At 42.0% G+C, this 15,169-nt stretch overlaps 1 pseudogene and 1 further gene, besides 3 other annotated features; both read right to left on the bottom strand.

The window, feature by feature from the left end:
* Positions 1 to 15,169, bottom strand: part of TRB (T cell receptor beta locus) — a 514,277-nt gene that overhangs the window by 389,531 nt on the left and 109,577 nt on the right.
* Positions 8,052 to 8,060: a recombination feature (RSS_nonamer).
* Positions 8,061 to 8,083: a recombination feature (RSS_spacer).
* Positions 8,084 to 8,090: a recombination feature (RSS_heptamer).
* Positions 8,091 to 8,533, bottom strand: TRBV12-1 (T cell receptor beta variable 12-1 (pseudogene); annotated as a pseudogene). The gene is given in 2 exon segments: positions 8,091 to 8,388; positions 8,488 to 8,533. Coding segments are annotated over 2 exon segments (344 nt in total), but the record flags the coding sequence as incomplete, so codon positions are not given.

Raw genomic sequence — 15,169 nt, 5'->3', positions numbered from 1 at the left:
TGTCAGTACTTTCAACAGCACTCTAACTTCTCTGGAGACATAAGCATCTATGGGGAATATATCCTTTTACTTTTTAATTATTATTCAGTATAATAAGTTATAACAATTTTTTGGAAGTGTCTACCTCAACTTGAAGCTCTGTCTGGTTTCTCCACTGGTGTTTCCCAAGTACCTGGACAGTACCTATGTAGTTGCCATGAAATCAATGAAGAATAACCTCGGGCCTTCTCACTCACACAGGACCTTTCCAACACTTTGTCATTTTGCATTCTTCTTTGCAAGGAGCTCCTTAAAATTGTATCAGCTTTGTGCCCCACAAAACTTGAATCTACTCTGCACCTATAGCTCATTAAAGATTTGTTGAATGGAAGAAAAATGGAATGAATGATTACCTGGGTCCAGGCAAACTCTGCTTCTGTAAAGAGAACCCAAGTCTATTCAGTTCAAATTGGGTTCAGAGCTTTAAGGGAACAGAGAGCCATCCTGAGGCTGCTGAGAATTCAGGAATAATTCCAAATGAATCTGGAAGAGATTAGTTTATATATGTCATCATAAGACTTTTTAAACGAATGGGTAGCGGTATAAGTAAAAGAAAAACAAAGGTCTCCTTCAAAGGGAAGGGTCTTTGGATGGTGGCTTCATCCCATCACTGCCACAGTATAGGCTATCCCTGAAGAGAAAGTCTGTGATGGGGACTTAGGTGCATGTAGCTTATTCGGGAAATGATTCCAGGAAGAAGAAGTAGGAACGAAACATAAAATAGGGAAGGAAGAAGCCAGGATAAAAGTGCACAAACAACAAAAGAGTTTGTGTTGGAGCAATAGGAGATGGAATCCATCAGGGCCTCTCAGGAGCACACAGAATGCTGTCTGAAGTTTCTGCATGAATGGGCAGGCTGGAGCATTAGTCCTCTGTCTCAGCAGGGGCATCAGGAGCTCTGGCTGTCTTTGAGTACAGGCCAGGTGGGCTCAGATAATATCATGGAACAGCCCTGGGGAAGAAGCAGAGAGACTCCCAGCATGCACCTGTGGAAGGGCACTGCCAGATCGAGGCGAATGGGGACTTGCACACAACTGTCCACTACAGCAAGCCTGAAATCAGAGGTGGGCAGTGAGGATGTCGTGGAAGGCACTAGAGGCTCCTCTTCTTTCTAATAAAACCGCCCATTCTTCTATCAGCTCTTTTGTGGGATTGCTGATTGCTCTGAATTCACAGCTTTCTGGGAGCATCACACCTTCTTGCATATCAGACTCAGTATCAACCAGGAAGTGCTGTAAGGGGCAACATTTTTACTTTCCCTTAAGACACAACCATTTATGTTAGTTTTACCTAATTATCAGACTACTATCTTTGCATTTTAGATGACTTTGTGTCTTATTAAAAAATAATAAAATTAACTAATGAATAGCAATTATTTGTGTCTTTTCCCTCATGGTAAATTGCATCAGGTACTGGAAGACTGTGCTTTCCTTAAACAACATCTTATTTCCTTGCTGTGCAGCTGAGAAACCTCCCTCCTCACACAGCCTCCATAAAAGCAATCACATGGCCTCACCCATAGAACTGCTATAGTGGAGAAAACTGAACCTTGATTTTTGTCACAATGAAAGATGAAAAGATGTTTTGCCTGGAAGTCATATCCTCCTTGGACTTGTCAGTGGAGAGGCTATAATGATCACATATGTGGCATAATCTTCCCCTCCTGCTAATGGGGACCTGGAAACGGAAGGCCAGGTGAGAGGACAAATCTACAGAGTGGGAACAGTGGATAGAGGTGTTGGAGGAACAGGCTTCAGCCAGTTATCTTTTTTTTAATTCACTATTTATTGATGTATATTAGATGTACATATTTTTTAGGTAGATATGATCATTGATACATTTGTATAATCAAATCATGGTCATTGGGATAGGCATTATCTTAAATATTTATCTTTTCTTTAGACTAGGAACATTTGAATTATTCTCTTCTCACTATTTTGAAACGCATAATTGGCTGATGTTAACTACTGTCACACTACTACTGATCTATCCAATGCCAGGTCTGGTTTCTTCCATCTAAGCGTATGTGAGACCCAGGAAAGCTGCTTCAGTCAAATGTATAAACAGGTAAGATAATACTTATTTTGAATGATTTCTGTCAGAATTAAAACAGGTCACATAAAGAAGCAGCAGAGGGGCCGGGCACAGTGGCTCACACTTGTAATCCCAGCACTTTGGGAGGCCGAGGCAGGCAGATTGTTTGAAGTCAAGAGTTTGAGACCAGCCTGGCCAACATGGCGAAACCCCATCTTTATTAAAAATACAAAAAATTAGCCAGGCGTTGTGGTGGGTGCCTGTAATCCCAGCTACTTAGGAGGCCGAGACAGGAGAATCATTTGAACCCAGGAGGCAGAGGCTGCAGTGAGCTGAGATCAAGCCACTGTACTCCAGCCTTGGTGACAGAGCAAAGCAAGATGCCCTCAAAAAAAAAAAAAAAGAAGCAGCAGAGAGTGCCTGGGAAAGGCTGCCACCAGATCCTGAACCTCAGTCAGGGCAGGAATATTTCTGGCATTTCCATAGGAAACTGGCCTTTCCAGTTACTGGCCCTGCAGGACACTGTGAGCTCACTGCATACTTAGGCAGGCCTCAGGCTCTGCTATTCCATGTTCCATTCCTGGTCTGCAGGGCCCCTAAACGAAAGGTGGGGCAGGTGCAGCACAGTGCCCACATGCTCACAACAACCCCTATTTTCCTATGCCTGCCCACCCTGTCCCTGTCCTGAGAAGCATTCCCCAGCCCTTGACACCCCAGCCTCAGCACCCTCCACTGTCCATACAGACACAGAGACACTTTTTCCTTGGGGCAAATTGAGGCCTTTGGCACCCCTACCCTTCTCTGGCAGTATTTAACTCAGGATCCACTCTGAACTCAGATTGCCCTGCTGATGCCAGCAGACAACCAGGCTTCCCTTCAGCCCTCCTCTCCTGGGTCACCCTCCCACCGCTCTCCAAGGTTCCCCACTGCATTGTGAAGCCACAGTGCCTCCACGTGGCCAACTGTCCAGAGTCTCATGGATTCACACTTTCTGAACTGATGTGCTCAAGATTGTCCAAATCAGGAACAGGGATTCCCGCATCTCCGCTCCTACAAACCCTACCCTCTCACACACACAACCTCAATGCTTTCCCAAGCAGGCCAATTTAGGGTTGATCTTCAAATCCACCCTTAGCCAGTGGAGACAAAAGGGTGCATTAACCAATATTTTGATTGCTGATAAATGTTACATAATTGCAATTCATATGATAAGATGAAAGAGAGAACCCTGAATAACACAGGGCATAAAGTAAAACAGCTTGAAGAGATCAAACAGATCCAGCCTGGAAACGCGATATTCCATGTCTCCTTTTGATTGATCAGACACATATCTCTTCATATTTTGTACTTGGATTATTTACAGAATTTTAGATAGTGCATTTTATAATGGAGGTCTCTGGGCTTTTTCATATTTAATTCTTAATTTATAGAAAGTCTTGAAATAAACAACCCTATCAGCTATAACTTAGGCAGATTGAGTGGTCTGACATTTCCTGTCACTCCCCAGAACTGCCTATGAGCTCCACCAATCACCCAGTGCCTCTTAGTAATGAAATCCAAAGAGAAACTATTTTCATGTGGATGAGTCTCCATGAGAAAATGCACACACACACGTGTACACACTCACACATATAAACACATGCACACTCTCACACTCGCACTCATACACACGGTATCTTCTTATTGCAAGGATGATAAGATTCTATTACCGAGCACGGTGAATTTTTCTTACAGTGTTTTAGGGTGCTTTCTGAGATGATGATGTTTCCAGCCTCAAAAAATGTGGTTTTGGGAAAATGTGGTTGTGGTGAAGAATTTATTTTACCAGATCATGAGACTGGATAAATACTATTATAACATAAATTTCTTTGTTCCAAAAGGATGTTTGCAAATTCCAGCTTTAGATGTGGTTAGGATACTGTGTAACATTGGTCATTAATCCTGACTGGGGAAACACATTTGCTTGGAATATTGCAGAAGTTGTATGGAAAATTGAGACTAGCCATAATGACTCTCTGTTGTATTTCATGTGGAGGACGAAGCCCCTTTTGAAGTGAAACTCTGCTAAGTAAGAAAGTACACATAGAATTCAACTATTATATTGAGAGAATGTGAAATATTATTGTCATTTACTCAATAGAGTCAAAATAAATTTACTTATCATCTATTATGTGCCAAACTCTCTGTGACATAGTGAAGATAAAAAAAGGTGAACAAGGGTAGAGGTCATTGCATCAATTTTTTTTTTGGCAAAATTAAATATTTCACATAAAATTTTTGTAAGATTTGGCTATGATTCAAATTTGATCATGCTTTTTTTTTGAGATGTAGTTTCGCTCTTGTCACCCAAGCTGGAGTGGAATGGCATGTTCTCTGCTCACCGCAACCTCCGCCTCCTGGGTTCAAGCGATTCCCTTTCAGTTTCTATTCCATGTAAGCTACAGGATTCCCAGACCTCTTGAGGGAGTTAGGGTTTTCAACAATTTCTTTCTCCATTTTTTTAAACAAGTTCCCAACTACTACAGAATAAATCAACTCATTTTATTGTCTACTAACTTATCTTGTCTTCTCACCCTGAGTCCCAAATTCCTTCATCAAAGCTAGCCTGATCATTACATAAGCCTTCTAACATTATCTCAGAAGTTTACTATAATTTTTTTGTGCACAATTCACATATGAAACTTTTGTTACTTAACAGAGATCATTATTAATTAAAAAAAAATCTATTTAATGTATTTCAAACCCCAGTGTTCTGCAAGTCTCTGGGAATGGCAGAGGAATTTTCTGGAAGAATGGAGATAGGGGAGGGGAGGGAGAGAGGTTTAAGTCATAGGGAGGAGGAACCAACGAAGAAAGGCTGTGTCACAGCAAAGTGAGGGAAATTGTAGCAGGTCTACAGTGACTTCTGGAGAGATCTGTAGGAACAGAGAGCAGGCATCAGAACCTTATCTTTGTCTGTTCTTTTCTCTTTAACCCACTTCAGAGACAGCTCCCAGTGATCCCTTATATGTTTGGTTCTTGAGAAGGACTAGTTTGAAAACTGCTTTAAAATCCTTATGTCTCTCCTCCCATTGTAATTAGGGTTTCTCCTGCAGCTGTTCTTGCCACAGTTTCCTCTTTAGACTAGTGATGAAGTCAGTTTATAGCTTGATCAACTTGATCGCTCTTGGCGAGATCACAGCCTGCCAGGAAGGGTTGTTTCATGAGCGCAGCTGGTGAGAGTTTGGGGATTTGTTTCTGCCTAGGGTGAGATCCACGGTAGTGCATAAAGAGTTGGAAAGAGAAGTAGCCAGCCATACTAAAGAAGTAGATATGGAGGACAGCTAAAGTAATAATGATAATAAAAATTTACTGCTGAAGGAAACAAAAGGAACCACTTCTGATGCACAGCTTACCCTAGCAGCTTGCCCTCTAATCCCCTCTGATCACCAGTGCCCTGCCCTCTTCTGGGACCCTCCATCAAGCCCTTGAGCCTGTGTTTTCTAAATTGCCACTTTTCCTGCACAGCCACACTTCCCTTTCCCTGAGTAAATGCACATTAAAAGACATGGACCTGGGAAAGGAAGGTCAGCTGGGTCAGGGGTACTGGAAGCCCCTAAGCTTTTTTATTTCTTGCACCACCAAAATTGGATAGTATTTAATATTTCCCCCATTTTTGGAAAATGCTGATTTAAAGAAATAATGTTTTTAAAGGAATCATTTTTTAATTTTTTTGTAACACACAGCATTGCCAATCACAGTTTCTAATCAGCATGAGATGAGTTTGTGAGTGTCACAGAACTTTAATATAATTCCATCTCAGCAAAGTCATGTGTCAGTTTCCTTATTGTGTATACCTTGGGTCACGTGCATAATTTCCTTTCATCCTCAAAAAAATTACAAATAAACTGAGGACCTTGATATTATGTTTGAAAACCTTAAGGTAGAGAATGCTACCCTAGCCAGTTCTCACTTCCTTAACCTCTTTGTCTTTCTTTCCACCTATGATCCCTTGATTCCCTGGAGCTGTTCCGGCCAAAGATTCTAAAGATAAGTTGAAATTACCAGATGATTTTACTATTTCTTACACAGTCCATCTGTAGTTCAGCCCAGAACAGCAGCTCTAAACAGTTTTGTTTTGCATTTGTCTCTTTAAATCTATTTATTGATTTTCTGATTTAAAACATGATTTTTAATACCTTCCTTGTCTAATATACACAGTTAGGATTAATGGATAAAATATTCGACAAAGTTGCAACCCTCAGAAATCTCCAAGCTGAGGAAGACATGCATTTATTCAGTAGATATTTACTGTAATCATGGAAGCAATTCTTAAAAAAAAAGTAGGTTAAAAAAAATCCTCAAAAGTGAGGAAGTCAAGAAAGTGAGGAGCCAAACCAATGTAAAAATGGTCTGTGGGATGAGTAGTCGTTAAGAATGATGACAGGATTAGTAGCAGACAGGACTGAATGGGAAGAGAGTTCTGAAGGGAAAAAAGCAAGTGCAGCAATGAAGGGTCCTGTTCTAACGTCATGTATGTAAGGAGCTGGGCTTCAAAAAAGGAGGAAAGAAAGTGATCTGGAGGCAGCAAAGAGAAGCCCAAAGAGCAAGGGAGACACCAGGACAATAGATAAACACAGAGTAGGTCGGTTGATGTACATTTTAAAAAATTCCTGAATTTTATTCTGTACTGTTGTGATCTTGAAAACCTTGGCCTTTAAATAACAAAACTAGACAATGACAAGTGAAACCTAGGCCTATATGGAAGAACTCAGGTAAACTCAAATTGTCTTGGGCACTCAAAATACAGGAATAGTTTGCAACACCTGCCAATGATACCCTGATAGGGGTTGAGAAGTGATCAGTATGTAAGTACTACTATAGAAGAAAGAAATTATAATTCTTCAGAATGAATTGCAAGTGCTGTGTAGAAATACGCGGCATAAACCAGAAAAAATATATAGATATGCGTGTCCAGGACACAGCATCAGGGAGGAAAGAGGTCAAAGTAAGACTGGCCAGGCCTGTGTGCTTTTAGACAGCCTGTGTGGATACATGTGGATAGCTCCAAGCAGGCAGTGGAAGAGACCACGTCAGTGTCCTGTGAGTTGGCACAGGCCTTCAGCTAGAACTTGGCTCTCCTTAAGCAGGATAAAGACAAATAGATCCCTAGAGTCCAGGAGGAGCAGCTTACATCTAACCTATTTCACTGCCTGTATTACCCACAGGAGGTTTACTCTTTAAGTGCAATGCAAAATCCCTATATAAATGGTAAGTTGAAATTAACATTATAAGGAATGCCATAGAAAAGAACTTTCTTTTACAATCAAGAAAACTTGTGGGGGAAATTTCTGTTCACAGCTTAGGGTGAAAATAGAATGCAGAGGGCAGACTAGTTCAAAAGACATAGCCATTCTCAGGAGCTCTCAGCTTGCTAATGCGGATGGCAAATACCTGGAGACAAGGAAACCTACAGTGGGGGTAATTAAGGTTTATCTTACATGCCTGTGAATTCTGACTCCTTAGACAATTTGTGAGAAATTCACAAAACACATTTTCTACATTATCCCCTACACATGATTTTTTTTATGTTAATATCCTACCATCTTCTGTCTTTGTCATTCTCCAAACCCACTTAATTTTTATTTTATTTTATTTTTGAGATGGAGTCTTGCTCTGTTGCCCAGGCTGAAGTGCAGTGACACGATCTCGGCTTACTGCAAGCTCCGCCTCCCGGGTTCACGCCATTCTCCTGCCTCAGCCTCTCGAGTAGCTGGGACTACAGGCGCTTGCCACCGTGCCCGGCTAATTTTTTGTATTTTTAGTGGAGACGGGGTTTCACTGTGTTAGCCAGGATGGTCTCGATCTCCTGACTTCATGATCCACCCACCTCGGCCTCCCAAAGTGCTGGGATTATAGGCGTGAGCCATGGTGAGCAGAGAGCAGGAAAGACTTTGCTGACGACTGCTGAGAGCTGTGGGGAGAAGAGGAAGCACCAGGGTTTCTGCACAGAGATGGGGAGATTCTGCAGTGCTGTGGCAAAGCTGCTGGCACAGAAATATAGGCCCAAGTCCCTGGGTTCCATGGGCTGGATCCTCAGAGTGGAGAATGATACATCAGGCATCTGTGCTGAGAATCAATCCTTGGACACTCCTGAGTCATCTACGAGGGTCCAGCTGCAGAAGTAATTCAGCAATTCCAGTCCCTGCACAAAGGTCTGTCTGTACCAGAGAAGATCATTGTGGCCTGAAATTGGTTCGCATCTCAGAGTTACTGATTGTCCCATCTCTGTCACTTTGTGCCTGGGTGACTGGATAACACCAGCATCTGTGTGTGCTATAAAAGAAGACAGAATTGGGGGAAAGAATAAGGAAAATATAAGGAGTCATCTAGACAGAGGTCCAGCATGACCATAATAAATATCGGAGAACTCACTCGCTACCAGGATATAAAGGGACACACAGAGGGTCCAAGAGCCCATGGCAGAGTGAGAGCAGAAGTGGAACATTCCAGACCAGGGCCTCTGTGAGCATGAACAAAGAAATTAATTTTGTGACATTTTATCCACACAAGATGCATCTGTCAGTGACGTCACTGAATGGGCCACCACCTCCAATTTGAAAGCTCCTTATTTAAGTGGAGGCTGCATCTCTGGGAGATGAATCAGGCAGGACTGAACTATAATTGATCTGAGACACAAATGCACACCTACGGAGGCTCTCTGTGGATTTGTCTTGATATTACCAATTCATAAAGCCTTCTCTATAGTATATCTTACCTAGGATCTTGCCAACTATATTCATCTGCACCTCACACTCCAATTATTTCAAGATGAACTCATTGTCTTACAGCAAGCCAGATTCTCTGCAAACTCTCCTATTCCTCTCCCTGATGTCTCTGTGCTCCTACTCCTTTGAATGCACTTCAATTATCCACAAGTGAGTTAGGAGTTGGCCCCTGAGATCCCTAGGAAGGGCAAGCATGTCAACTGCGTTGTTAGAGATACAGGAGCCGAACTGATATCCTGAAAGTTCATTCGATTTCAAAGCTCTTCTTTGCAGTGAAAGACCTCTCTGAGTGTATTTATTCTTGAACTCTAGTGAGTTTGCAAAGCCCAGAGTACAGAATCTCTCTCATTCTCTATCCATACAATAAAACAGGAAGAAGATTGTCTTTTTCATAAACATTTGGAAATTAAATGCTCCAGAGTTGACTTACATCCTATTTTTACCTCTAGCAAAGCTCAAAGTTTCTTAATCTTTACAACTGGACTTTTCCTTATAAAAGAGTCTTGCATCTCAGAAGCCGACTTCCTCTCAGGGTGTAGAGTGTACAGAGCTGAGAGAAGCCTCTGCTCTGTGGGTTGGTCAACTGGGTTAATTGCTAACCAAGAAGGAGCAGTTTAGGGCCACATTTTTGCTGCTGGCACAGAGGCATACTGCTGAGTCCCCTGCACCCCAGAGTACTTTCCGATCCTAAGGAGCAAATAGTTTACAGACGAGCTTGTGAGACCTGAGGTGTCTATTTCTTTGTGGGCTCCATCCCTTTTTGTGTCTGTTAGGCCTGGGATGTAAAACGGTGGTCAGTATTCTGGTTTCCAGGTGATCATTTTGTTTTCCTCCCTCTTACCAAGTTCCTAGGTTTGGTAGGCAGAACAAAGGCCCTCCAACCACGTCCAGGTCTAATCTCTGGAACCTAGGAATGTGTTAAGTTACTTGTAAAAGAAAAATTAAAGTTCCACACAAAGTCAGGTTGTCAATCAGCTGACCTTCATACTGGGAGAGTGTCCTGGATTTTCCAGGCGGGTCCAATGTAGTCACAAGGGTCCTAAAATGTGGAAGAGGGAGGACAAAGAGTGTCAGAGTGATGCAGCATGAGCAAAGGCTCAGTCAGTCCCTGTTGGTTTCGAAGATTGAATGGGGTAACAAGCCAAGACATGCTGGTAGCCTCTAGAAGCTGAAAAGGGGAGAAAAACAGTTCTCCCCTAGAGCTCTGGGAAAGAACGCAGCCCTGCCAACACCTTGATTTTGGCCCAGTTACACTGATTTTGGACTCCTGGCCTCCAGTATTGTAGGGTAGCAAATGTATTTTGTTTAAGCCTCCAAAATCAGTGGTAATTCATTACAGCAGCAGTAGAAATCAAATACTTTATAGTGTCCAAGGCACACATGAATACAAGAGGCAGAAGCTAGATACAAGATACAGGTAGAGGCAAATGAACGAGTCATATGGAAAGAACTTTAATTCAAGCCAAAAGAAAAGGTACTATCTCTACCCAGACCCCACCTTCTTCCAGGGGACACACAGGAGTCTGAAGTGAGTAGCAGAGGTGAACTATTAATAGACTGGGCCATTTTCCTGCTGAGAGCAAAAGGTCTTGGTGGAGAAAACTCTGTTCTACTCCACCCTGGTGTCTGCCTAATAAGTGTATATGCTACTGGTGTTGTAATTGTGATTGCCCCCTCCCTGGGGAACAGGGTCCCTCCGATGGTCCAGGGTAGCACCTCCGTCTCTCCCTGCTCTTCCTTCTACTTTTAACAGAGCAGGTAGGGCTGGCCTGAGCTGGTTTGGGGGTTTGGGGCCAGGCTCTCCAAGGCTCCTGTAACATGAAAACTGCTTCTCTGCTTTCCCAGCCCAGAACCTGGGCACTGCACCACCCCAGCTACTTGTGCCTCCACATCTTAAGGGCGCTCAGACATATATCCACTGCAAGCACACCTGCCACTCAGCCCCATTCAGAGCTCAGTTTAGAGCAAAACCCTTCTCCACAACAATACAGGCAAATTGGTTGGTCTCTAATTCCTTCATTCCCAGCCTTCATTCCAGACAGCCCAGCTCCCTGAATCTAGGGCCAAACCCAGGGTTTCCCTTAAGAATCTTCCAGAGAGCCATCTTCGCCCCTCCCCATTTGACTCTGATGACAACAAAGCCACAGTGCCTCCTTGTGGCCAGTAGGCAGAAACAGCACAAATCTGCTCTCTTGCCAGGACACAGGGGACTTGTGCTTTGCTTTGTTGAGTCATGGAGATATGGGAATTATGATTTGTTGGTGTTAGAAGGTCAGAAAGCAATCTTAATGTTGCTATGGCCTAAGATGGAACCACCTGAGAGGTGGACATTGAAGTCAGACAAGTGGAGATAAAATATCAGTGTTAATAACTAATAGTGCTCAGATAGGAGAGCAAATAGGCCAACCCACACTATTCTGAATCAGAATTTAATCCATTCTCTCTCCCCTGCAAACTACAGGCCAACCCTGTAAGGAAAGAAAGTTCTCCACTGATCTTAGTGTATGTTGAAAAAGCACCAAAAGAATCTACTTTTTTTTCTCAGTAGCCAGGATGAAAGGATGATGATGAAGAGAGACTAACCTCAGATGAAGAGGAGACTAAATAAGATAACTTATTTCACTTCCCATAAGAAACATTTGGCAAATAATAGACAAAAACCAGTGTATCACTTTAGGGAAGTTCCCCCAAATGGAAAATGTGGAACCAAGCACCTTTCCAGGGGACTGGGAAGGAAAAGATGATAGCCACACACCTGTGACTCCCTCCAATTCTGACCCCTGCCCCTCAGGTGTGCTCACAAAACATGGCACAAATGAGTCACGACAGTGCAGGAATGAAGTAAATTCCATGTTCACTCTCTGCTCTCTGATCAACTTTATTTTATTTATTTATTTTTATTATACTTTAAGTTCTGGGATACGTGTGCAGAACATGCAGGTTTGTTATATAGGTATACATGTGCCATGGTGGTTTGCTGCACCCATCAACCCGTCATCTGCATTAGGTATTTCTCCTTATGCTATCCCTCCCCTTGACCCCCCCGCCCCAACAGGCCCTGGTGTGTGATGTTCCCCTCCCTGTGCCCATATGCTCTCATTGTTCAGCTCCTCCGTATGAATGAGAACATGCGGTGTTTGGTTTTCTGCTCCTGTGTTAGTTTGCTGAGAGTGATGATTTCCAGCTTCATCCATGTCCCTGCAAAGGACATGAACTCATTCTTTTTTATGGCTGCATAGTATTCCATGGTGTATATGTATCATATTTCCTTTATCCAGGCTATCATTGATAGGCATTTGGGTTGGTTTCGAGTCTTTGCTATTGTGAAGAGTGCTGCAATAAACATACATGTGCATGTGTCTTTATAGTAGAATGATTTATAATCTTTTGGGTATATACACCCAGTAATGGGATTGCTGGGTCAAATGGTATTTCTGGTTCTAGGTCCCTGAGGAATCGTCGCACTGTCTTCCACAATGGTTGAACTAATTTACACTCCCACCATCAGTGTAAAAGCGTTCCTATTTCTCCACATCCTCTCCAGCATCTGTTGTTTCCTGACTTTTTAATGATCGCCATTCTAACTGGCATAGGATGGTATCTAATTGTGATTTTGATTTGCCTTTCTCTAATGACCAGTGATGATGAGCTTTTTTTCATATGTTTGTTGGCAGCATAAATGTCTTCCTTTGAGAAGCGTCTGTTCATATCCTTCGCCCCCTTTTTATGGGGTTCTTTGTTTTTTCTTGTAAATTTGTTTAAGTTCCTTGTAGATTCTGGATATTAGCCCTTTGTCAGATGGATAGATTGCAAAAATTTTCTCCCATTCTGTAGGTTGCCTGTTCACTCTGATGATAGTTTCTTTTGCTGTGCAGAAGCTCTTCAGTTTAATTAGATCCCATTTGTCCATTTTGGCTTTTGTTGCAATTGCTTTTGGTGTTTTAGTCATGAAGTCTTTGCCCATGTCTATGTCCTGAATGGTATTGCCTAGGTTTTCTTCTAGGGTTTTTATGGTTTTAGGTCTTACTTTTAAGTATTTAATCCATCTTGAGTTAATTTTTGTGTAAGGTGTAACGAAAGGGTCCAGTTTCAGTTTTCCGCATATAGCTAGCCAGTTTTCCCAGCACCATTTATTAAATAGGGAATCCTTTCCCCATTGCTTGTTTTTGTCAGGTGTGTCAAAGATCTGATGAAGTTTAAATATTTACTCTCTATTCTCATTACCCTGTTCGAATGAAGCATCGAAGGTTATGTAATTAACAACATAATAATACTCTAAATGATAAAATGTCAAAACCAAGTGAGTGTCCCAATTTGATTATAAATCCCCTTCAAGTTTTTAAAAAAGTTCTTTCCTCGAAATTAAAGTTTCAGTAAAACATTCCTCTATGCTATTTAAGTTAAATATCAAGCAAATCACAGACTAAGAATCAGACATTGAAATTCAAAGAAAATTAAAACTTTAAATGAAATTCTTTGACCTTCATCTGAGTAATTACAGAAGAGGAAACTCAAATTGTCAGAGGCGTTCAAACCAGAGTGACTCCATCTTACGTGAAAAAATGAGGCTGGGCCTTGCTGGGCTGCATTCCCAGAAAATCAGGTATCCCTAACCTCTAGATGTTTATGGTTAAAGCAACAGATTAATAATGTTTACTAAACAGACCCAGACTTGGGAGTGTCATGATACCCCAATATCTTGGGAACAGAAACATTCCTAATTTCTCTTTAAAGATAATAATACTGATTCTTGCAAAACATAGTAATTAAGAAAGTTAATCCTTTATCACAAACCCTTGTAGCAGAGCACATCTCTCAACGATCTTTTCTTATCCTATATATAAACAAGTATTGTACCTAGGGTAGATGCGCTCCTCCTGTTACTTTTGGGAAAGCCCTACTCTGTCTATGGGGTAGCTGTTCTTTCACCATGTTACTTTCTTAATAAACTTGCTTTGGCTTTTCACTGTGGAATCACCCTGAATTCTTTCTTGCATGAGATCCAAGAACCCTCTCTTGGCGGTTGGATCAGGACCCCTTTCTTGTAACAAAATTAACCCTTCTGTTATTATTTAAATAGTTGGGTAAATTACCACACTAACAAAAACTGAAACTAATTAATATCCCAAAAACATTATGAGGGATAACTGGTCCAGAATCTTGGAGAAGGCAGGAGCCTGGGGGAGTGAACACAGCAGTCACTGCCCTTAGGGGCATTTGCTGATCCCAGCCCAGCTCTCAGGAAGCTGATTCACAGGCTGGGGGGTAATGGCTAAGACCAGAACTTACTGAGGGTGACCACTGAGGAACTTGAATTGAAACAATGAACTAGTAGGAAACCTGTTCTCCAGGGGCTCCAGGACACCTCAAGCCTTTAACTCTTTTTCAGGGAGTCCTGGATTGTTTATGTATCCATGCACTTTACAAAACACAATAAAATTATCTCTGGAGAAAGATATGTCCATCCTAGACCAAAAATTATTTCTACAACCATAGTGTCTGGCATGATGTCAAAAATAATCAGGTTTATAAGGAAAAATACAAACAAATGACCAAGAAGCAGCACAAAAGGAAATCAACACAAACAAGCCACAGAGATCTCAGAGGTGAACAGGAGCAGACAGACTGAAATAAATGGGAGTCCTACGTTCAATGAAATACAAGATGCTCTCAAGAAGTGTTACGAGGGAATCACTGACAGCCATGGTCCTTCGGAGGATTCCCAGGAAGCTGCCTTCCCAAACATTCTAACCAGTACTTTAGAATGAGTTCTAGTACAGGAGAATCTGGGCAGAAGTTAGGGTAGAGACTAGAGTTGGACACACACAGTGCATTATCAGAGGAGACAACTGGACCAGGGGCAACTCATTGCTTCTGAAGTTCTGGCAGGAATATCTAATGCACTAAGGAGCTATTTTAGTGGGCAGACAAGGAAGTAGGCAGGCAGGTGGAAGTGTCTTCACCAGCCTCTGAACTAGCTGGCCCAGGCCTAATTATAGTGTTGGGCTGTGTCTGTTACACTGAAAAGTTAAAGCACTCCAGAGAAGCAAAATTCATTTTGAGTTAAGATTTGGGAATTGTTTCCAGGATAACCATTTGTGTGCATTTCTTTGAAGTTTAAAGTGTGCTGAATGAAATAGCTGAAATGATCAACATCATCATCATTACAATATTATTATTATTGTCATATTTCCACAAAAACAGAGGGAAAAGATTTCCAAACACACAGTGTCTGTTGAGATTTGACTGCATGAAACATCCAGTGAGAGGTCAAGAAGAGGCTCCAGAGCCAGATAAGATTCACATCATTCAGATGCTGACAACGGCAG

Source organism: Homo sapiens, chromosome 7, assembly GCF_000001405.40.
Source record: "Homo sapiens chromosome 7, GRCh38.p14 Primary Assembly".
Taxonomy (NCBI): Eukaryota; Metazoa; Chordata; class Mammalia; order Primates; family Hominidae; genus Homo; species Homo sapiens.
This window is presented reverse-complemented; position numbering and strand designations above follow the sequence as displayed.